This window comes from Homo sapiens, chromosome 3 (assembly GCF_000001405.40).
Source record: "Homo sapiens chromosome 3, GRCh38.p14 Primary Assembly".
Taxonomy (NCBI): domain Eukaryota; kingdom Metazoa; phylum Chordata; class Mammalia; order Primates; family Hominidae; genus Homo; species Homo sapiens.
The window spans coordinates 196,428,335-196,442,288 of record NC_000003.12 but is presented as its reverse complement, the minus strand read 5'-3'; the positions used below and the strand labels follow the sequence as shown (position 1 = coordinate 196,442,288).

Genomic DNA, 13,954 nt, shown 5'->3' with positions numbered 1-13,954 from the left:
TAAAAATACAAAAATTAGCCGGGAGTGGTGGCGCATGCCTGTAATCTCAGCTACTTGGGAGGCTGAGGCAGGAGAACATGCTTGAACCCGGGAGACGGAGGTTGCAGTGAGCCGAGATTGTGCCATTGCACTCAAGCCTGGGCGACACAGCGAGACTCCGTCTAAAAAAAAATAAAAATTAAATAAAAAATAAGGAATCACAGGACAGTTTTTCAGCTTCTTATAATGTCAAACATACACTCACAGCCTGATAGGATGGTTCACGCCTGTAATCCCAGCACTTTGGGAGGCTGAAGCGGGCAGATCACCTGAGGTTAGGACTTCAAGACCAGCCTGGCCAACATGGTGAAACCCCATCTCTACTAAAAATACAAAAATTAGCCAGGCATGGTGGTGGGTGACTCCAATCCCAGCTACTCGGGAGGCTGAGGCAGGAGAATCGCTTGAACCCGGGAAGCGGAGGTTGTGTGAGTCGAAATTGCACCACAGCACTCCAGCCTGGGCGACAGAGTGAGACTCCATCTCAAAAAAAAAAAAAAAAAAAAAAATACACTCACTATATGAGCCAGCAATTCCTCGTGTAGGTGTTTTTAGAAGAGAAATGAAAACTTATGTTCATACAGAAACTTGTACATGAGTTTATAGTAGCTTTATTCATAATTGCCCCTAACGAGATAACCCAAATGCCCTTCAACTGGGGAATGGATAGACAGACTGGGATGCATCCTTATGATGGACTGATACTCAGCAATGAAAAGGAAAAAGATACAGACGCAGACACCGCCATGAGGAACTTTAAATGCATTATGCTAAGTGTAAGAAGCCAGACTCGAAAGGCTACTGCATTCTGTTTGACTCCATTTACATAACATTCTAGAAATAGCAAAAATCGTAGGAACAGAAAACCCTAACCCTAAACCAAAATATCAATTTTTAAATTTAATAGTGAGAGATAGATGTTTTCAGTGACTGACAGACTCATTCAGTACTTTCCTAGTATCAAGAAATCTGGAAAAGTTAAGTGTCAATCAGAAAGATTCTAGGTAAAGGTGGAATCAGAACGAAGGGAAGTGTGGGAATGTTTCACGGTGCTCATAGTGAAGCTTCATGAATGGAGCAGATTTTGTTAATTGCCTAATTAACATTCATTCCCCTCCTTCTTTCTCCTTAAAAGCACCAAACTTTGGGGAGGTATCCACCTTCCTCCACAAAGCCATATGCTTTACTACACCAGTTATGTTTATCTCACATCCCTTGGCAGAGACTGGTTTAGGAACAGAATTGTGACTCAATTCAGACTCAATTCAGACGAATTTTGAAGGAATGTCTCTCCCAGGAGACTTCTAGGAAATGTGTCCTTTCTCACAGAAGAGATGAGCTGATGCTTCTTCCTTTGCATGTCACTGTACCTGAATGTGATGCTTCAGACTACTGCAGCTGTCTTGCTACCAGCCTAGAACAAAGCTCAGACAGTCCTGGGAAAGTCAAGAGAATCAGAGGCAGAGCTGGAGCCCTGTGGTACCCAACACAGGCCCTACCCTAGCTCACCTTGCTATTTAAGCTAGCTAAATTTCGTTTTCCCGACATAACATCCAATACCCTAAACAACTTAATGCCTGTCCCACAATATAATATGTCTTTTTGGTGGTAGCGATATTGGCCCACCTGAGAAGTGCTGAAAAATAACTGAAATATTTTTATTCTTTGAACTTTTTTTTAAAATACTAATTGCTATGCACATCACCTCCCCAAACTTTCTGTCAATTCATTTTGTCTGGGTTCAAATCCCAGTTTCACTTCTTACATTACAGATGTTTCTTTTTTTAATTTTTTTTTGAGACAGTCTCACTCCGTTGCCCAGGCTGGAGTGCAGCGGCGAGATCTCAGTTCACTGCAACCTCTGCCTCCCAGGTTCTAGTGATTCTCATGCCTCAGCCTCCTGAGTAGCTGGGACTACAGGTATGTGCTACCATGCCCAGCTAGTTTTTGCATTTTTGGTAGAGACGGGGTTTCACCATGTTGGCCAGGCTGCTCTCAAACTCTAGGCCTCAAGGGACCCGCCTGCCTCAGCCTTCCAAAGTGCTGTGATAACAGGAGTGAACCACTGTGCCTGGCCAACAGATGTTTCTAATTTTAATGAAGTCAACTTTATTAGTCATTGCCCTTATGGTTTCTGATTTCGTGTCTTCTTTATAAAATCTTCCCCTTCCTCAAGCTGGACTTTCATGATCCACAACTTCAAGGCTGTCCAGTTATGTTGTGTTGTGTGGATGGCATTTCCTGGGATGCAGAGTGGACGGCATCCCCTTTAAGTTGTGCAAAGCAGTTCTATTAGAAATCACTAGAATAAGCCCCTATATTTTCTTGTGAAAGTTGTCAAGTTTCAGCCAGGTGCAGTGGCTCATGCCTGTAATCCCGGCACTTTGGGAGGCCGAGGTGGGCGGGGATCACCTGAGGTTGGGAGTTCAAGACCAGTCTGGCCAACATGGAGAAACCTGTCTCTGCTAAAAATACAAAATTAGCCAGGCATAGTGGCGCGTGTCTGTAATCCCAGCTACTCAGGAAGCTGAGGCGGGAGAATCACTTGAACCCAGGAGGCGGAGGTTGTGGTGAGCTGAGACTGCGCCGCTGCACTCCAGCCTGGGCGACGAGAGCCAAATTCCGTCCCCTCAACCCCCCCACCAAAAAAAAGAAAGTTGTCAAGTTTTGTTATTCTCATTTAAATCTTTCAGAAATATATAATGTATTTTTGTATCCGATTTGGGATTGGAACCCTGGGTCACAGTGCATCCCTTCCTCCATTGGTTAGTCATGCCACTTCTGCCGCACTGTCTGTATATATTCGTGTCTGTTTGTGGACTCTCTATTCTGTACTGGATTTGTTCACTCCCTATCAATACCACACAGTGTGAGTAGTCTTAGTTACTACACCTTTATAATAATTTTTTTTTTGAGACAGAGTCTTGTTCCTGTCACCCAGGCTAGAGTACAGTGGCTCAGTCTCGGCTCATTACAACTTCTGTCCCCCGGGCTCAAGCGATTCTCCTGCCTCAGCCTCCCAAGGAGCTGGCATTACAGGCACGTGCCAACCGCCCGCCCCCCCCCACCCAAGCTAATTTTTGTATTTTTAGTAGAGACAGGGTTTCACCATGTTGGCTAGGCTGGTCTTGAGTTCCTGACCTCAAGAAGTCCGCCTGCCTTGGCCTCCCAAAGTGCTGGGATTACAGGTGTGAGCCACTGTGCCCGGCCTATAAAAATTCTTTTTTTTTTTTCCTTGTCTTGCGCTGTCGCCCAGGCTGGAGTACACTGGCGCGATCTCGGCTCATTGCAAGCTCCGCCTCCTGGGTTCAAGTGATTCTCCTGCCTCAGCCTCCCGAGTAGCTGGGACTACAGGCGGCCGCCAACGCGCCCGGCTAATTTTTTGTGTTTTTAGTAGAGACGGGGTTTCACCGTGTTAGCCAGGATGGTCTCGATCTCCTGACCTCGTGATCCACCCGCCTCGGCCTCCCAAAGTGCTGGGATCACAGGCGTGAGCCACCGCGCCCGGCCTAAAAATTCTTAATACAAGGTAGGGCAAGACTTCCACAAGTCCTTTTACTTCAAAAGTGTTTTGATTATTGTTGACTCTTTACTCGTGAATTTAAAAATAACCTTACACAAATGCTTAGAAACTCTGTGAGATTTTGATTGAAATTACATTGAATTGGCCGGGTGCAGTGGGTCACGCCTGTGATCCCAGCACTTTGGGAGGCCGAGGCGGGCGGATCACCAGGTCAGGAGATCGAGACCATCCTGGCCAACACGGTGAAACCCCGTCTCTACTAAAAATACAAAAAATTAGCCGGGCATTGTGAGGGGCGCCTGTAGTCCCAGCTACTCGGGAGGCTGAGGCAGGAGAATGGCCTGAACTCGGGAGGCGGAGCTTGCAGTGAGCCGAGATCACACCACTGCACTCCAGCCTGGGCGACAGAGCGAGATTCCATCTCAAGGAAAAAAAAAAGAAATTACATTGAATTTGCTGACTAATATATGGAAAACTGGCATCTTTATAATATTGAGTCTTTCCATACATGAATATAGATTTTTTTTTTTTTTTTTTTTTTTTTGAGATAGGGTCCCACTCCATCTCCCAGGCTGGAGTGCAGTGGTGCAGTCATGGCTCAACCTCCTGGACTCAAGTGATCCTCCCATCTTAGCCTCCCAGGTAGCTGGGACCACAGGCATGTGCCACCATGCCTGAATAATTAAAAAACAATTTCTTTTTTGTAGCAATGAGGTCTCACTATGTTGTCTGGGCTGCTCTCAAACACCTGGCTCCAGGCGATGCTTCCACTTAGGCCTCCCAAAGTGTTGGGATTATAGGCGTGAACCAAGGCGCCTGGCCCCTGAATATAGGTTTTTAATTTACTGCCTATTCTTGTCTCACTGCCATGGTTAGAACCTCTAGAATAATATTGAGTAGACGTAATAATAGAACGCATTATTGTTACTGACTTTAAATGTCTAATTATTAACTAGGATGCTGTTTACTCTGCATTTTTGGTAGATACATTTTATTAGATTAAGGAAGTTTCTTTATGTAGTTTGTTAAGGTTTTTAAAACATTTTGTGAATGGATGTGCATTTATATCAATGGTTTTCCTGTGTCTGATCAAATGAATCAAATAATTTCTCTTATTTAATTTGTTTTACTATGGTGAATTACATTGACAGAGGTGTTTTTTTTTTTTTTTTCTGGAGTTTCTGGTGTCCAGGCTGGAGTGTGCAGGGTGCAATTATAGCTCATTCAGCTTCAAACTCCTAGACAATTGGGCTCCAGTGGTCCTCCTACCTCAGCCTCCTAGGTAGCTGGGATTACAGGGGCGAGCAACTGTGCCATTTGTAAGAGCTTTTTACTGTAAAATTATGCTTGCATTCCTGAAGTAAACCCAATAAAAAAAATATGTACATGTATGTGTGAATATGTGGATTTCTAAATTCTGATTTAATTTAAGATATCTGTTTCAGTAGCCATGAGTGAGGATGAATTCTCATTTATTATTTTGTTTGATTTGATTTCAAGGTTATGCTACCCTTATAGAATGAGCTGTTTGTTCCCATTGTTCTTTATCTGGAAGCATTTGTATAAGTTTGGGATAATCTGTTTCTTAACTTTTTTGGTAGCAATCTCCTGTAAAATCACTGGGGTGTGGTCATTTGTGTGGCAGATTTCATTTTGTTAATGGTCATAAGTCTATGCATAGTTGAGTTCCATTTTGTTAATTATTTCTTCTAGGAAACTGTCATTTATCTATTTCCTAATTCATCAGCATAAAATTATTCATAATATTCTCTTATTTTTCAAGCCACGGCTATGTCTGCTATGTCTTTTTTTCATAATATTGTTTGTGTCTTTCTCTTTGTTCTTAATCTGTCAAAGGTTTTATTATTATTTATTTTTTTATTTTTTGAGATGGAGTCTCACTCTGTCACCCAGGCGGGAGTGCAATGGCACAATCTCGGCTCACTGCAACCTCTGTCTCCTGGGTTCAAGTGATTCTACTGTCTCAGCCTCCCAAGTAGCTGGGATTACAGGCGCCCGCCACCACGTCCAGCTAATTTTTGTATTTTTAGTAGAGACGGGGTTTCACCATGTTGGCCAGGCTGGTCTGGAACTCCTGACCTCAGGTGATCCACCCACCTCGGCCTCCCAAAGTGCTGGGCCTACAGGTGTGAGCCACCACACCTGGCCTGTCAAAGGTTTTACATATTGTTATTTCAGAGAACCAGCTTTTGGTTTTATGAATCCTCTCTTCTGTATTTTGTATTCTATTTTGTCAATTTCTGCTCTTTAGCATTTTTTCTTCACATTTTTCCTTGTCTGCTGAGTTGTTGTTCCTTTATTAACTTCTTGATGAAATGCTGAGCTACTTATTTTCCAGTCTTCTTCTCTAATATAACCAGTTAAGCTTATATATTCTCCTTTAGCTTCTGTTAAAACTCCATCAGTTTCGGGCCAGGCTCTGTGGCTCACCCTGTAATCCCAGCACTTTGGGAGGCTGAGACAGGTGGATCACTTGATGTCAGGAGTTCAAGACCAGCCTGACCAACATGGTGAAACCTTGTCTCTACTAAAAATACAAAAATTAGCTGGGCATGGTGGCCTGCTCCTGTAATCCCAGCTACTTGGGAGGCTGAGGCAGGAGAATCGCTTGAACCCAGGAGGCAGAGGCTGCAGTGAGCCAAGATCCTGCCACTGCACTCCAGCCTGGGCGACAGAGAGAGACCCTGTCTCAAAAAACAAAACAAGATGAAACAAAAAAGACCCAAACAAACCAAAAAGCTCCTCAAGTTTTGGAATGTATTTCCATGACCATTCCATTTTACATTTGTGTCCATCAATTTCCTCTTTTCCATCCTGCTCTCTGCCCCGGGGCTGCCTGTGGGAACTACAAGGGGCTTCTTGCTGTGCCCTCTGTCTTCCATTTGGGTTCAGCCATTGGGGATTCCTGGCAGGAGACAGAAGAGGAGATCGAGGTCAGGGTATCTATGTCCCTGAGCTCCTCTCTGAGATTGCCTCAAGCTGCTTATTTATGTCCCTTGACAGAAGGTCATTGCTTCTTGCATGGTGGTTTGCTCTGCAAAAAAATCTCACTTGGGATTTCTCTAACTTCTCTCTGTTCTCATCTCTTTGGACGTATGGGTTGTGACAGTTCTACTGTTACTAGTATGAGATCCTCCACTGTTCCTTGTGATTTCCACATATCTTACCCAGGCTGGAGTGCAGTGGTGTCATCATGGCTCACTGCAGCCTCGACCACCTGGGCCCAAGTGATCCTCCCGCCTCAGCCTCCAGAGTAGGTGGGACTACAAGCTTGCACCACCGCACCTGGCTAATTAAACTTTTTTTTTCTTTTTTCAGAGATAGGGTCTCCCTATGTTGCCTAGGCTGGTCTCAAGCTCCTGGGCTCAAGTGATCCTCCTGTCTTGGCCTCCCAAAGTGCTGGGATTACAGGCATGAGCCACGACACCCATCCTTCATATTCATATTCTTTTTTTTTTTTTTTTTTTTTTTTTTTGAGACGGAGTCTCACTCTGTTGCCCAGGCTGGAGTGCAGTAGCTCATTCTTGGCTCACTGCAAACTTCACCTCCCGGGCTCAAGCGATTCTCCTGCTTCAGCCACACGAGTAGCTGGGATTACAGGCACGCACCATCACGCCCAGCTAATTTTGTATTTTTAGTAAAGATGGTGTTTCACCATGTTGGTCAGGCGGGTTTGGAGCTCCTGACCTCAGGTGATCCCCAGCCTCGGCCTCCCAAAGTGCTGGGATTACAGGTGTGAGCCACCGCAACTGGTCAGTCCTTCATATTCTTTAATAATCCAAAAAAGCTTTTCAAGGTTGTATTATTCATTACTTCTTTATTTATTTTTCCCAGTTCCCTGGTTATCCATGGAAACTGTCTCATTTTCTTCCCTTCTTTCCCCCCCTCCCCCCGACCATGGAATCTTTTTGGCCACCTGTCTAATTTTCTTTTATCTTATTTTTTAATTTCTAAAAAAATGCCTTCTGGAGTTGTGGATGCCACAGACTTTATCACCTTTTCCTGCACTGTTAATCAAAATCATATCATTAAATCTGAATTATAAGATTTTGGAAATAAACCTGATAAACCTGCAGAGCTCATTACTGGCCTCTCCATCTGATGGAGGTACAGTAATCACTGTGTTTAGTTTTTGTAGTTAATGGTGTTATACCATTTTACGTGGAGCTTGATTTTGCATGGCTGGCTAGTGACTCAGCCTTTAGGATGAAGGGAGACAGAGGTAACACTTTCTTGATTTGGCTTTCTTCCCTTGCCTGTTTTTGCACCTCTGCATCAAATGTGAAGGAATCAGCTGCCGAAATTTATGACTGATCCCTGCCCTTCCTCAGCCCATCTAGAGAACTGCAGCAACCTGGAAGGCAGTGCCAGGACCAATCTGTCATTTAACTTAAAATACATTTTTTTTTTTGAGACGGAGTCTTGCTCTGTCACCCAGGCTGGAGCACAGTGGCATGATCTCGGCTCACTGCAACCTCTGCCTCCCGGGTTCAAGTGATTCTCCTGCCTCAGCCTCCCAAGTAGCTGGGATTACAGGTGCCCGCGCCACCACAGCAGCTAATTTTTGTATTTTTAGTAGAGATGGGGTTTCGCCATGTTGACCAGGCTGGTCTGGAACTCCTGACCTCGGGCGATCCGCCCGCCTCGGCCTCCCAAAGTGCTGGGATTACTGGAGTCTGCTTTCTTTTACATCAATCATATCTTCTTGAAACTACAGCCCGACTGGGTGTGGTGGCTCACGCCTGTAATCCCAACACTTTGGGAGGCCGAGGCGGGTGGATCACTTGAGGTCAGTAGTTTGAGACTAGCCTGCTCAACATGGTGAAACCTCGTCTCTATTAAAAATACAAAAATTAGCCAGGCGTGGTGGCGTGTGCCTGTAATCCCAGCTACTTGGGAGGCTGAGGCAGGAGAATCGCTTGAACCCGGGAGGCGGAGCTTTCAGTAAACTGAGATTGCACCACTGCACTCCAGCCTGGGCGACAGAGCGAGACTCCCTGTCAAACAAAACAAAACAAAAAACTATACCCCTTGATTTGACATGGCTCTTTCTTAATTCTCCCCAATAGCATGTTTACTCTTAGGATGTGTCAATTCTTCAGACAGCTCATCCCATCTTTTATTGGGCCATTTTCCTATGAAGATGCAAAATATGTGGGTGGAGGTTGGAAGGTGGGAGGCTAAAACAAACGGAATCACTTGGAATCTCTTTTAACTTTATGGGCAAGGTGGGGGATTATTGGATTTGAGCGCACCCCACTCATGTAACTGTTTTGCAAAATACTTAAAATTATTCAAGGAACACACGAATATCTTTTTTTTTTTTTTTTTTTTGAGATGGATTCTTGATATATTTCCCAGTCTGGTCTCGAACTCCTTGCCTCAAGCGATTCTCCCACCTCGGCCTTCCAAAGTGCTGGGATTACAGTCATGAGCCACCGCGCCCGGCCAATAATGTTTGTTTAAAAATAAAAAGATAAATAAGAAACTCGAAGTAAGGTCCGCTTTGACCATCGTCCCGATCGTTCTCTTCTCTGGAGGTAACCGTTACCAGCGTTTTGAGCACACTTTTCCAGTCTCCTTTCTATATGTTTTCTTTCCTCTACTGCATATACAGAGTTTCTTTTTATACAAATGACGCCTCTTGGGGTCTCATTAAGACCCTAACGGGAGACGTGATGGCCAATTTATTTAAGGAAAGCAGACTAAACAATCGTTTATGAAAACCTACTGGGTGGCAACCCCGCGCTAAGTGCTTTCTTTGGCATGAAGGGTTCTGGTATTTCACTCGTCGCAATCGGTTAGCTAAGCCATTAGTTTAGAGGCTGGGGGGCGAGTACGGGGAGAGTCGCTTCAAAGCGAGGAGGTAGGGTTTGCATTTTGATGGGACCTGCAGGAAACCTAATAGAGTGCGGTACAACCGCAAAACAGAAAAATGCTGTCATCGGCAGTTGGCTCTGTCAATAAAGCTTGCGAAGCTGAAATGCGAAGAACTATCTGCCGAGACCGAAGCTTCCTTCGGAATCTAGGAATCGACACCGCGCCTGCGAGGCTAGCCTTGGAGCCCGGAGAGGAAGGCACCAGCAATGGCAAAAAGGATGCACTGAGCAGGCAGCAACCGAGCAGCCAACCCGAGAGCTGGGAGCGCGCGGGCCCGGTCGGAAAATGCGCCTGCGCAGACCGCTGGGGACGGGAGGGGCGGGGCTCGAGGGGCGGTCAATGCGCCTGCGCACACCGCACGGCGAAGTGGGGGAGGGCAGTCCGTGTGTGTCTGTGTTGTTGTTCGGCGGCGGCGGCGGCGGTAAGATGGCTGCCCACGGGGGCTCCGCGGCGTCCTCGGCGCTGAAGGGGTTAATTCAACAGTTCACCACCATTACCGGTAAGAGACGCGGTTACCGGAAGGTGGAGAGTGGGGTCCGGAGCGGGCAGCGGGTCTGCCCCGGGCTTCCCCTTACCTTCAGGCATTCCTCCTTCGGGCTTTACCCACAGCTGCCGTCCTCCCTCCTGAGGAAGAGGCGACGACGGCGTCGGGGTCTCCGGGTTCAGGCGGGAGACAGCCCCCCCCCGCTCCCGATACCCTCGTTCTCTGTCTCCTAGTAGCGTGGAGGGAGATCCCCCAACCCCCCGCCAGCCCAGACCTGGGAATGGGCCGAGTCCGTCCGCCCCCGCCGGCCCGGGGACCCGGGGGCGGGAGGAGTAGGGGGCCGCACCCGGGCCACCGCCCTCCTCCTCCTCCTTCATCATCTTCCCTTCTCTGTGCAGCCCTGCGGTGCGGTGCATCTCCTCACCTCCTTTTTTCCTTTCTTCCCCGGCCAGGTCATTCTGCCCCGGTCCCCGGCCTGCCCTTCCCCTTTCTGGGCCCCTCGGAGCCATCGCCGTGGCCCTGGCGGGTTCGGGCCCTCCCGCCTTCACGGCAAGGCCGGTGGGTTCGGCCGTGCCTTTACACTTCACGGGGGACAGGCCGCCAGAAGCGGGGGGTGCTGAGGAGGACCTCAGGGACTGAGGCTTTGAGGGAAGAATGAGGGGGAACCCCCAAGCTGAATAGGGGAGGCCTGGAAGAATCCAGGGTGGCGTTTCCCACCTCCCCATAATAAAATCATAAAGACGGAGACGATGGCGCCGGGGCCTCCTGCTGATAAGATAGGGATGGCGGCAGAAACTTCTTTGAGAGAAAATCTGTTTCTGGGTGTCGGTATCCCCGAAACCCTAGGCCTAGGTTCTCTCCCTTTGGACCCCTGCGAAGGACACACGCAGATCCTCTTACCGCCTGGAGGAAAGGCCCTAAAGCCATTCTATGAATTCTCTCTGTCTTGTTTCTCTCTGATGGTGCTGAACTTTTCTTGCATGAGTTATTAGAGGGCGGAGCAAATGATGAAGTTCTCTGTGGAGTGATTTGAGAGAAGAGTACTCCAATGTGCCTGAGTGTAATTTTGCCGTTCTAGTTTGTCGTTTTGGAAGGAGGTCAGAATGTTAGTTCCCTCTCAACGGATCTATACTTTATCTCGTAATTTGTTAGATGCGGAGAATGTTTCCACTGTTAATGTTCCTAGAGTTTAACGTGCAATATCTGGTTAAGTAAAATTTTATATTGTTTTAACTACTACAGGTTGTATACTAGTTACCGTTTTATATTAAAGCAAGTTTTATTTTTTTGCTTTGCAATGATAACGAGATATTTGACGCATTGTTATCTAGCTTGTGGGCATGGAACATCAGGTCAAAGTAAAGTAAAATTTGCAATAAAATTGGGGTGAGGAGTTGCATGATAACTTCTCTTAATATTTTTGAACTTTGTGATTGGATTATTGAAGATATAAAGGATTGGATTATTATATTAAATATGTAAAGGATTTCCTAATGTCTGACAAATCATTGCTATGGAGAAGATTATTGTGTATATAAGTTAGTGTTGCTGCATTATGCTTATATAGAAAAATCTTTGCAGTGAATCTGATAGAGAAGTGAATATCATTATTAATCCTTTAGATTTCCTAGAGATGGTTTATGATGCCACTTGGGCCTGGCGCGGTGTCTCACGCCTGTAATCCTAGCAGTTTGGGAGACGGAGGCTGGAGATTCACATGGGGCGAGGAGTTGCAGACCAGCCTGGGCAAAACATAGTGAGGCCCCATCTCTACAGAAATAAGAAAATGAGCTGGATGTAGTGGCACCGACATGTAGTCCCAGCTACTGGGGAGGCTGAGGTGGGAGGATTGCTTGAGCCTAGGAGTTCAAGGCTGCGGTGAGTAGATCATACCACTGCGCTCCATCCCTGGCAACAGAGCAAGATCATTTCTCAAAAAGAAAAAAAAAGCCACTTATTATTATTATTATTATTATTATTTTGAGACAGTCTCGCTGTGTTGCCCAGGTTGGAGTGCAGATCTCCCAGGCACGATCTTGGCTCACTGCAACCTCCACCTCCCGGGTTCAAGCGATTCTCCTGTCTCAGCCTCCCGAGTAGCTGGGACTACAAGCGCCTGTCACCAGGCCCGGCTAATTTTTGTATTTTTAGTAGAGGCGGGGTTTCATCATGTTGGCCTGGCTGGTCTTGAACTCCTGTCCTCAAATGATCCACTCACCTCAGCCTCCCAAAGTGCTAGGATTACAGGCGTGAGCCACCGCGCCTGGCCCTAAAAGCCACTTAATTAATTTTCAGTTTCTTATGCTAATTACTACTCTTCCCAAACTCTGATTGGTTTAACGCCACATTACTTCTTCTGTTGCAACATTTTTATTAGGTACACACAAAAACCGAAGTGTGGTGAGTTGAATTGACTCACTTAATTGCTTTAATTCTGTTTCTGTTCGTCTACGTAGCTTGATTGCTGGATCAAGTTGGAGTCCCTCAATCAGTAGACAGTGGTATCTGGAGATCTACAGAGCGAAAATACCTTTGAGTGTTCTTCAAATATTGTGAATTTCTATTGATAATTTTTGGGATTCTTTTTACAAGATAGTGATTAACCGTTAGAAACACATGATTGATTTCTTTTTGCCTTTTTTACATGTCTTAAAATTTTTTTGGGGTTCTCTCCACATACGTTTTAATCGTAGTGTTTATAATTAAAAGGTATTTTATATTTATTTTAGTGACCTTAATAGCTTATGCTCTGATTTCACAAAGGTTTTACTTGGAAGCTCAATATTCTTGTAAAAACAAATGCATCATCAAAAATGTGAGTCCTTACTTTTTAGGCAGGAGCAAAAAAAAGAAAAAGAAAAAATAAAAATAAATGTGAGTCTTATCTTTTTTTGGCATTTAGAAATAGAACGGAAAATTGAAAGATTTTAGAAAAGTCTTATTTCTTACTGAATAGAACAGATCTCTCTCTGATTCAGTGAGTATGAAATAATGACTGATGTTTTTTTTTTTTTTGAGACGGAGTCTCGCTCTGTCACCCAGGCTGGAGTGCAGTGGCGTGATGTTGGCTCACTGCAAGCTCTGCCTCCCAGGTTCACACCATTCTCGTGCCTCAGCCTCCCAAGTAGCTGGGACCACAGGCGCCTGCCACCACGCCTGGCTAATTTTTTGTATTTTTAGTAGAGACGGGGTTTCACCGTGTTATCTGGGATGGTCTCGATCTCCTGACCTCGTGATCCGCCTGCCTCGGCCTCCCAAAGTGCTGGGATTACACGTGTGAGCCACCGCGCCTGGCCTAATGACGGATTTTTGATTTTTTTTTTTTTTTTTTAAGAGATGGAGGTCTCCTCTCTTTGTTGCCCAAGCTGTTCTCCAGTTTCTGGGCTCAGCCATCCTCTTGCCTCAGCCCTCCCAGTAACTGGGGCTACAGGTGCACATCACTGTGCCTGGTTCAGTAATGGCTGATTAAAAAAGATTATTAAAAAGACAATATCATAAAAACTTTTTTTTTTTTTTTTGAGACGGACTGGGTCTCACACTGCCACCCAGACTAGAGTGCAGTGGTGTGATCACGGCTCACTGCAGCCTCTAGGGTAACTTTCTTTATTTTTTGTGGAGATGGGGTCTCACTTTGTTGTGCAGGCTGGTCTTGAACTCCTGGGCTCAAGCAATCCACCCACCTTGGCCTCCCAAAGTGCTGGGATTACAGGCGTGGGACACTGCACCTGGCCGAAATAATTTTGATAAAAGGGAAAAGAACTAATTCTCCTTCTCACAACAGCAATATTTATTTTACATATTATCTTCCACTTCTTGTTTATATGCTTATTTTTACATTGTGGATCATAGTATATACAATTTCTGAGATTTCTTTTTCTTTTTTTTTTTTTAAAGACGGTCTTGTTCTGTCACCCAGGCTGGAGTACAGTGGCACAATTATAGCTTGCTGCATCCTTACCGCCTGGGCTCAAGTGATTCTCCTGCCTCAGCCTCCAGAGCAGTTAAGA

General features: G+C 45.7%; 1 protein-coding gene and 1 long non-coding RNA gene across 3 annotated transcripts in view, besides 8 other annotated features; one reads left to right on the top strand and one right to left on the bottom strand.

Moving 5' to 3' along the window:
* Positions 1,919 to 1,998: a silencer, noted in NCBI's record as "silent region_15063". NCBI's record gives its function as "represses an Ori minimal core promoter by ATAC-STARR-seq in GM12878 lymphoblastoid cells {active_cell/tissue: GM12878}" and the evidence as "EXISTENCE:reporter gene assay evidence [ECO:0000049][PMID:35858748]".
* On the bottom strand, positions 9,255 to 10,904 carry UBXN7-AS1 (UBXN7 antisense RNA 1). The gene is made up of 2 exons (NR_046745.1): positions 10,848 to 10,904; positions 9,255 to 10,087 (listed from the first exon to the last, which is right to left on the bottom strand). It is a non-coding gene; the product is annotated as a UBXN7 antisense RNA 1 (long non-coding RNA).
* Positions 9,545 to 9,624: an enhancer, noted in NCBI's record as "active region_21089". NCBI's record gives its function as "activates an Ori minimal core promoter by ATAC-STARR-seq in GM12878 lymphoblastoid cells {active_cell/tissue: GM12878}" and the evidence as "EXISTENCE:reporter gene assay evidence [ECO:0000049][PMID:35858748]".
* Positions 9,545 to 10,330: a biological region, named in NCBI's record as "NANOG-H3K27ac-H3K4me1 hESC enhancer GRCh37_chr3:196158830-196159603".
* Positions 9,557 to 10,330: an enhancer, noted in NCBI's record as "NANOG-H3K27ac-H3K4me1 hESC enhancer chr3:196158830-196159603 (GRCh37/hg19 assembly coordinates)". NCBI's record gives its function as "activates a minimal SCP1, AML or CMV promoter by ChIP-STARR-seq in primed H9 embryonic stem cells {active_cell/tissue: H9 hESC(primed)}" and the evidence as "EXISTENCE:reporter gene assay evidence [ECO:0000049][PMID:30033119]".
* Positions 9,665 to 9,914: a silencer, noted in NCBI's record as "silent region_15062". NCBI's record gives its function as "represses an Ori minimal core promoter by ATAC-STARR-seq in GM12878 lymphoblastoid cells {active_cell/tissue: GM12878}" and the evidence as "EXISTENCE:reporter gene assay evidence [ECO:0000049][PMID:35858748]".
* Positions 9,862 to 13,954, top strand: part of UBXN7 (UBX domain protein 7) — an 84,766-nt gene continuing 80,673 nt past the window's right edge. For both annotated transcript variants that reach the window (XM_011512671.3, NM_015562.2), the window contains exon 1: positions 9,862 to 9,962. Coding sequence is in view for 1 of the 2 variants with exons in the window: in NM_015562.2 (NP_056377.1) it covers positions 9,890 to 9,962 (73 nt within the window). In the remaining variant the exon portion in view is untranslated. The remainder of the gene's footprint in view (positions 9,963 to 13,954) is intronic.
* Positions 9,935 to 9,994: a silencer, noted in NCBI's record as "silent region_15061". NCBI's record gives its function as "represses an Ori minimal core promoter by ATAC-STARR-seq in GM12878 lymphoblastoid cells {active_cell/tissue: GM12878}" and the evidence as "EXISTENCE:reporter gene assay evidence [ECO:0000049][PMID:35858748]".
* Positions 10,331 to 11,105: an enhancer, noted in NCBI's record as "NANOG-H3K27ac-H3K4me1 hESC enhancer chr3:196158055-196158829 (GRCh37/hg19 assembly coordinates)". NCBI's record gives its function as "activates a minimal SCP1, AML or CMV promoter by ChIP-STARR-seq in primed H9 embryonic stem cells {active_cell/tissue: H9 hESC(primed)}" and the evidence as "EXISTENCE:reporter gene assay evidence [ECO:0000049][PMID:30033119]".
* Positions 10,705 to 10,754: an enhancer, noted in NCBI's record as "active region_21088". NCBI's record gives its function as "activates an Ori minimal core promoter by ATAC-STARR-seq in GM12878 lymphoblastoid cells {active_cell/tissue: GM12878}" and the evidence as "EXISTENCE:reporter gene assay evidence [ECO:0000049][PMID:35858748]".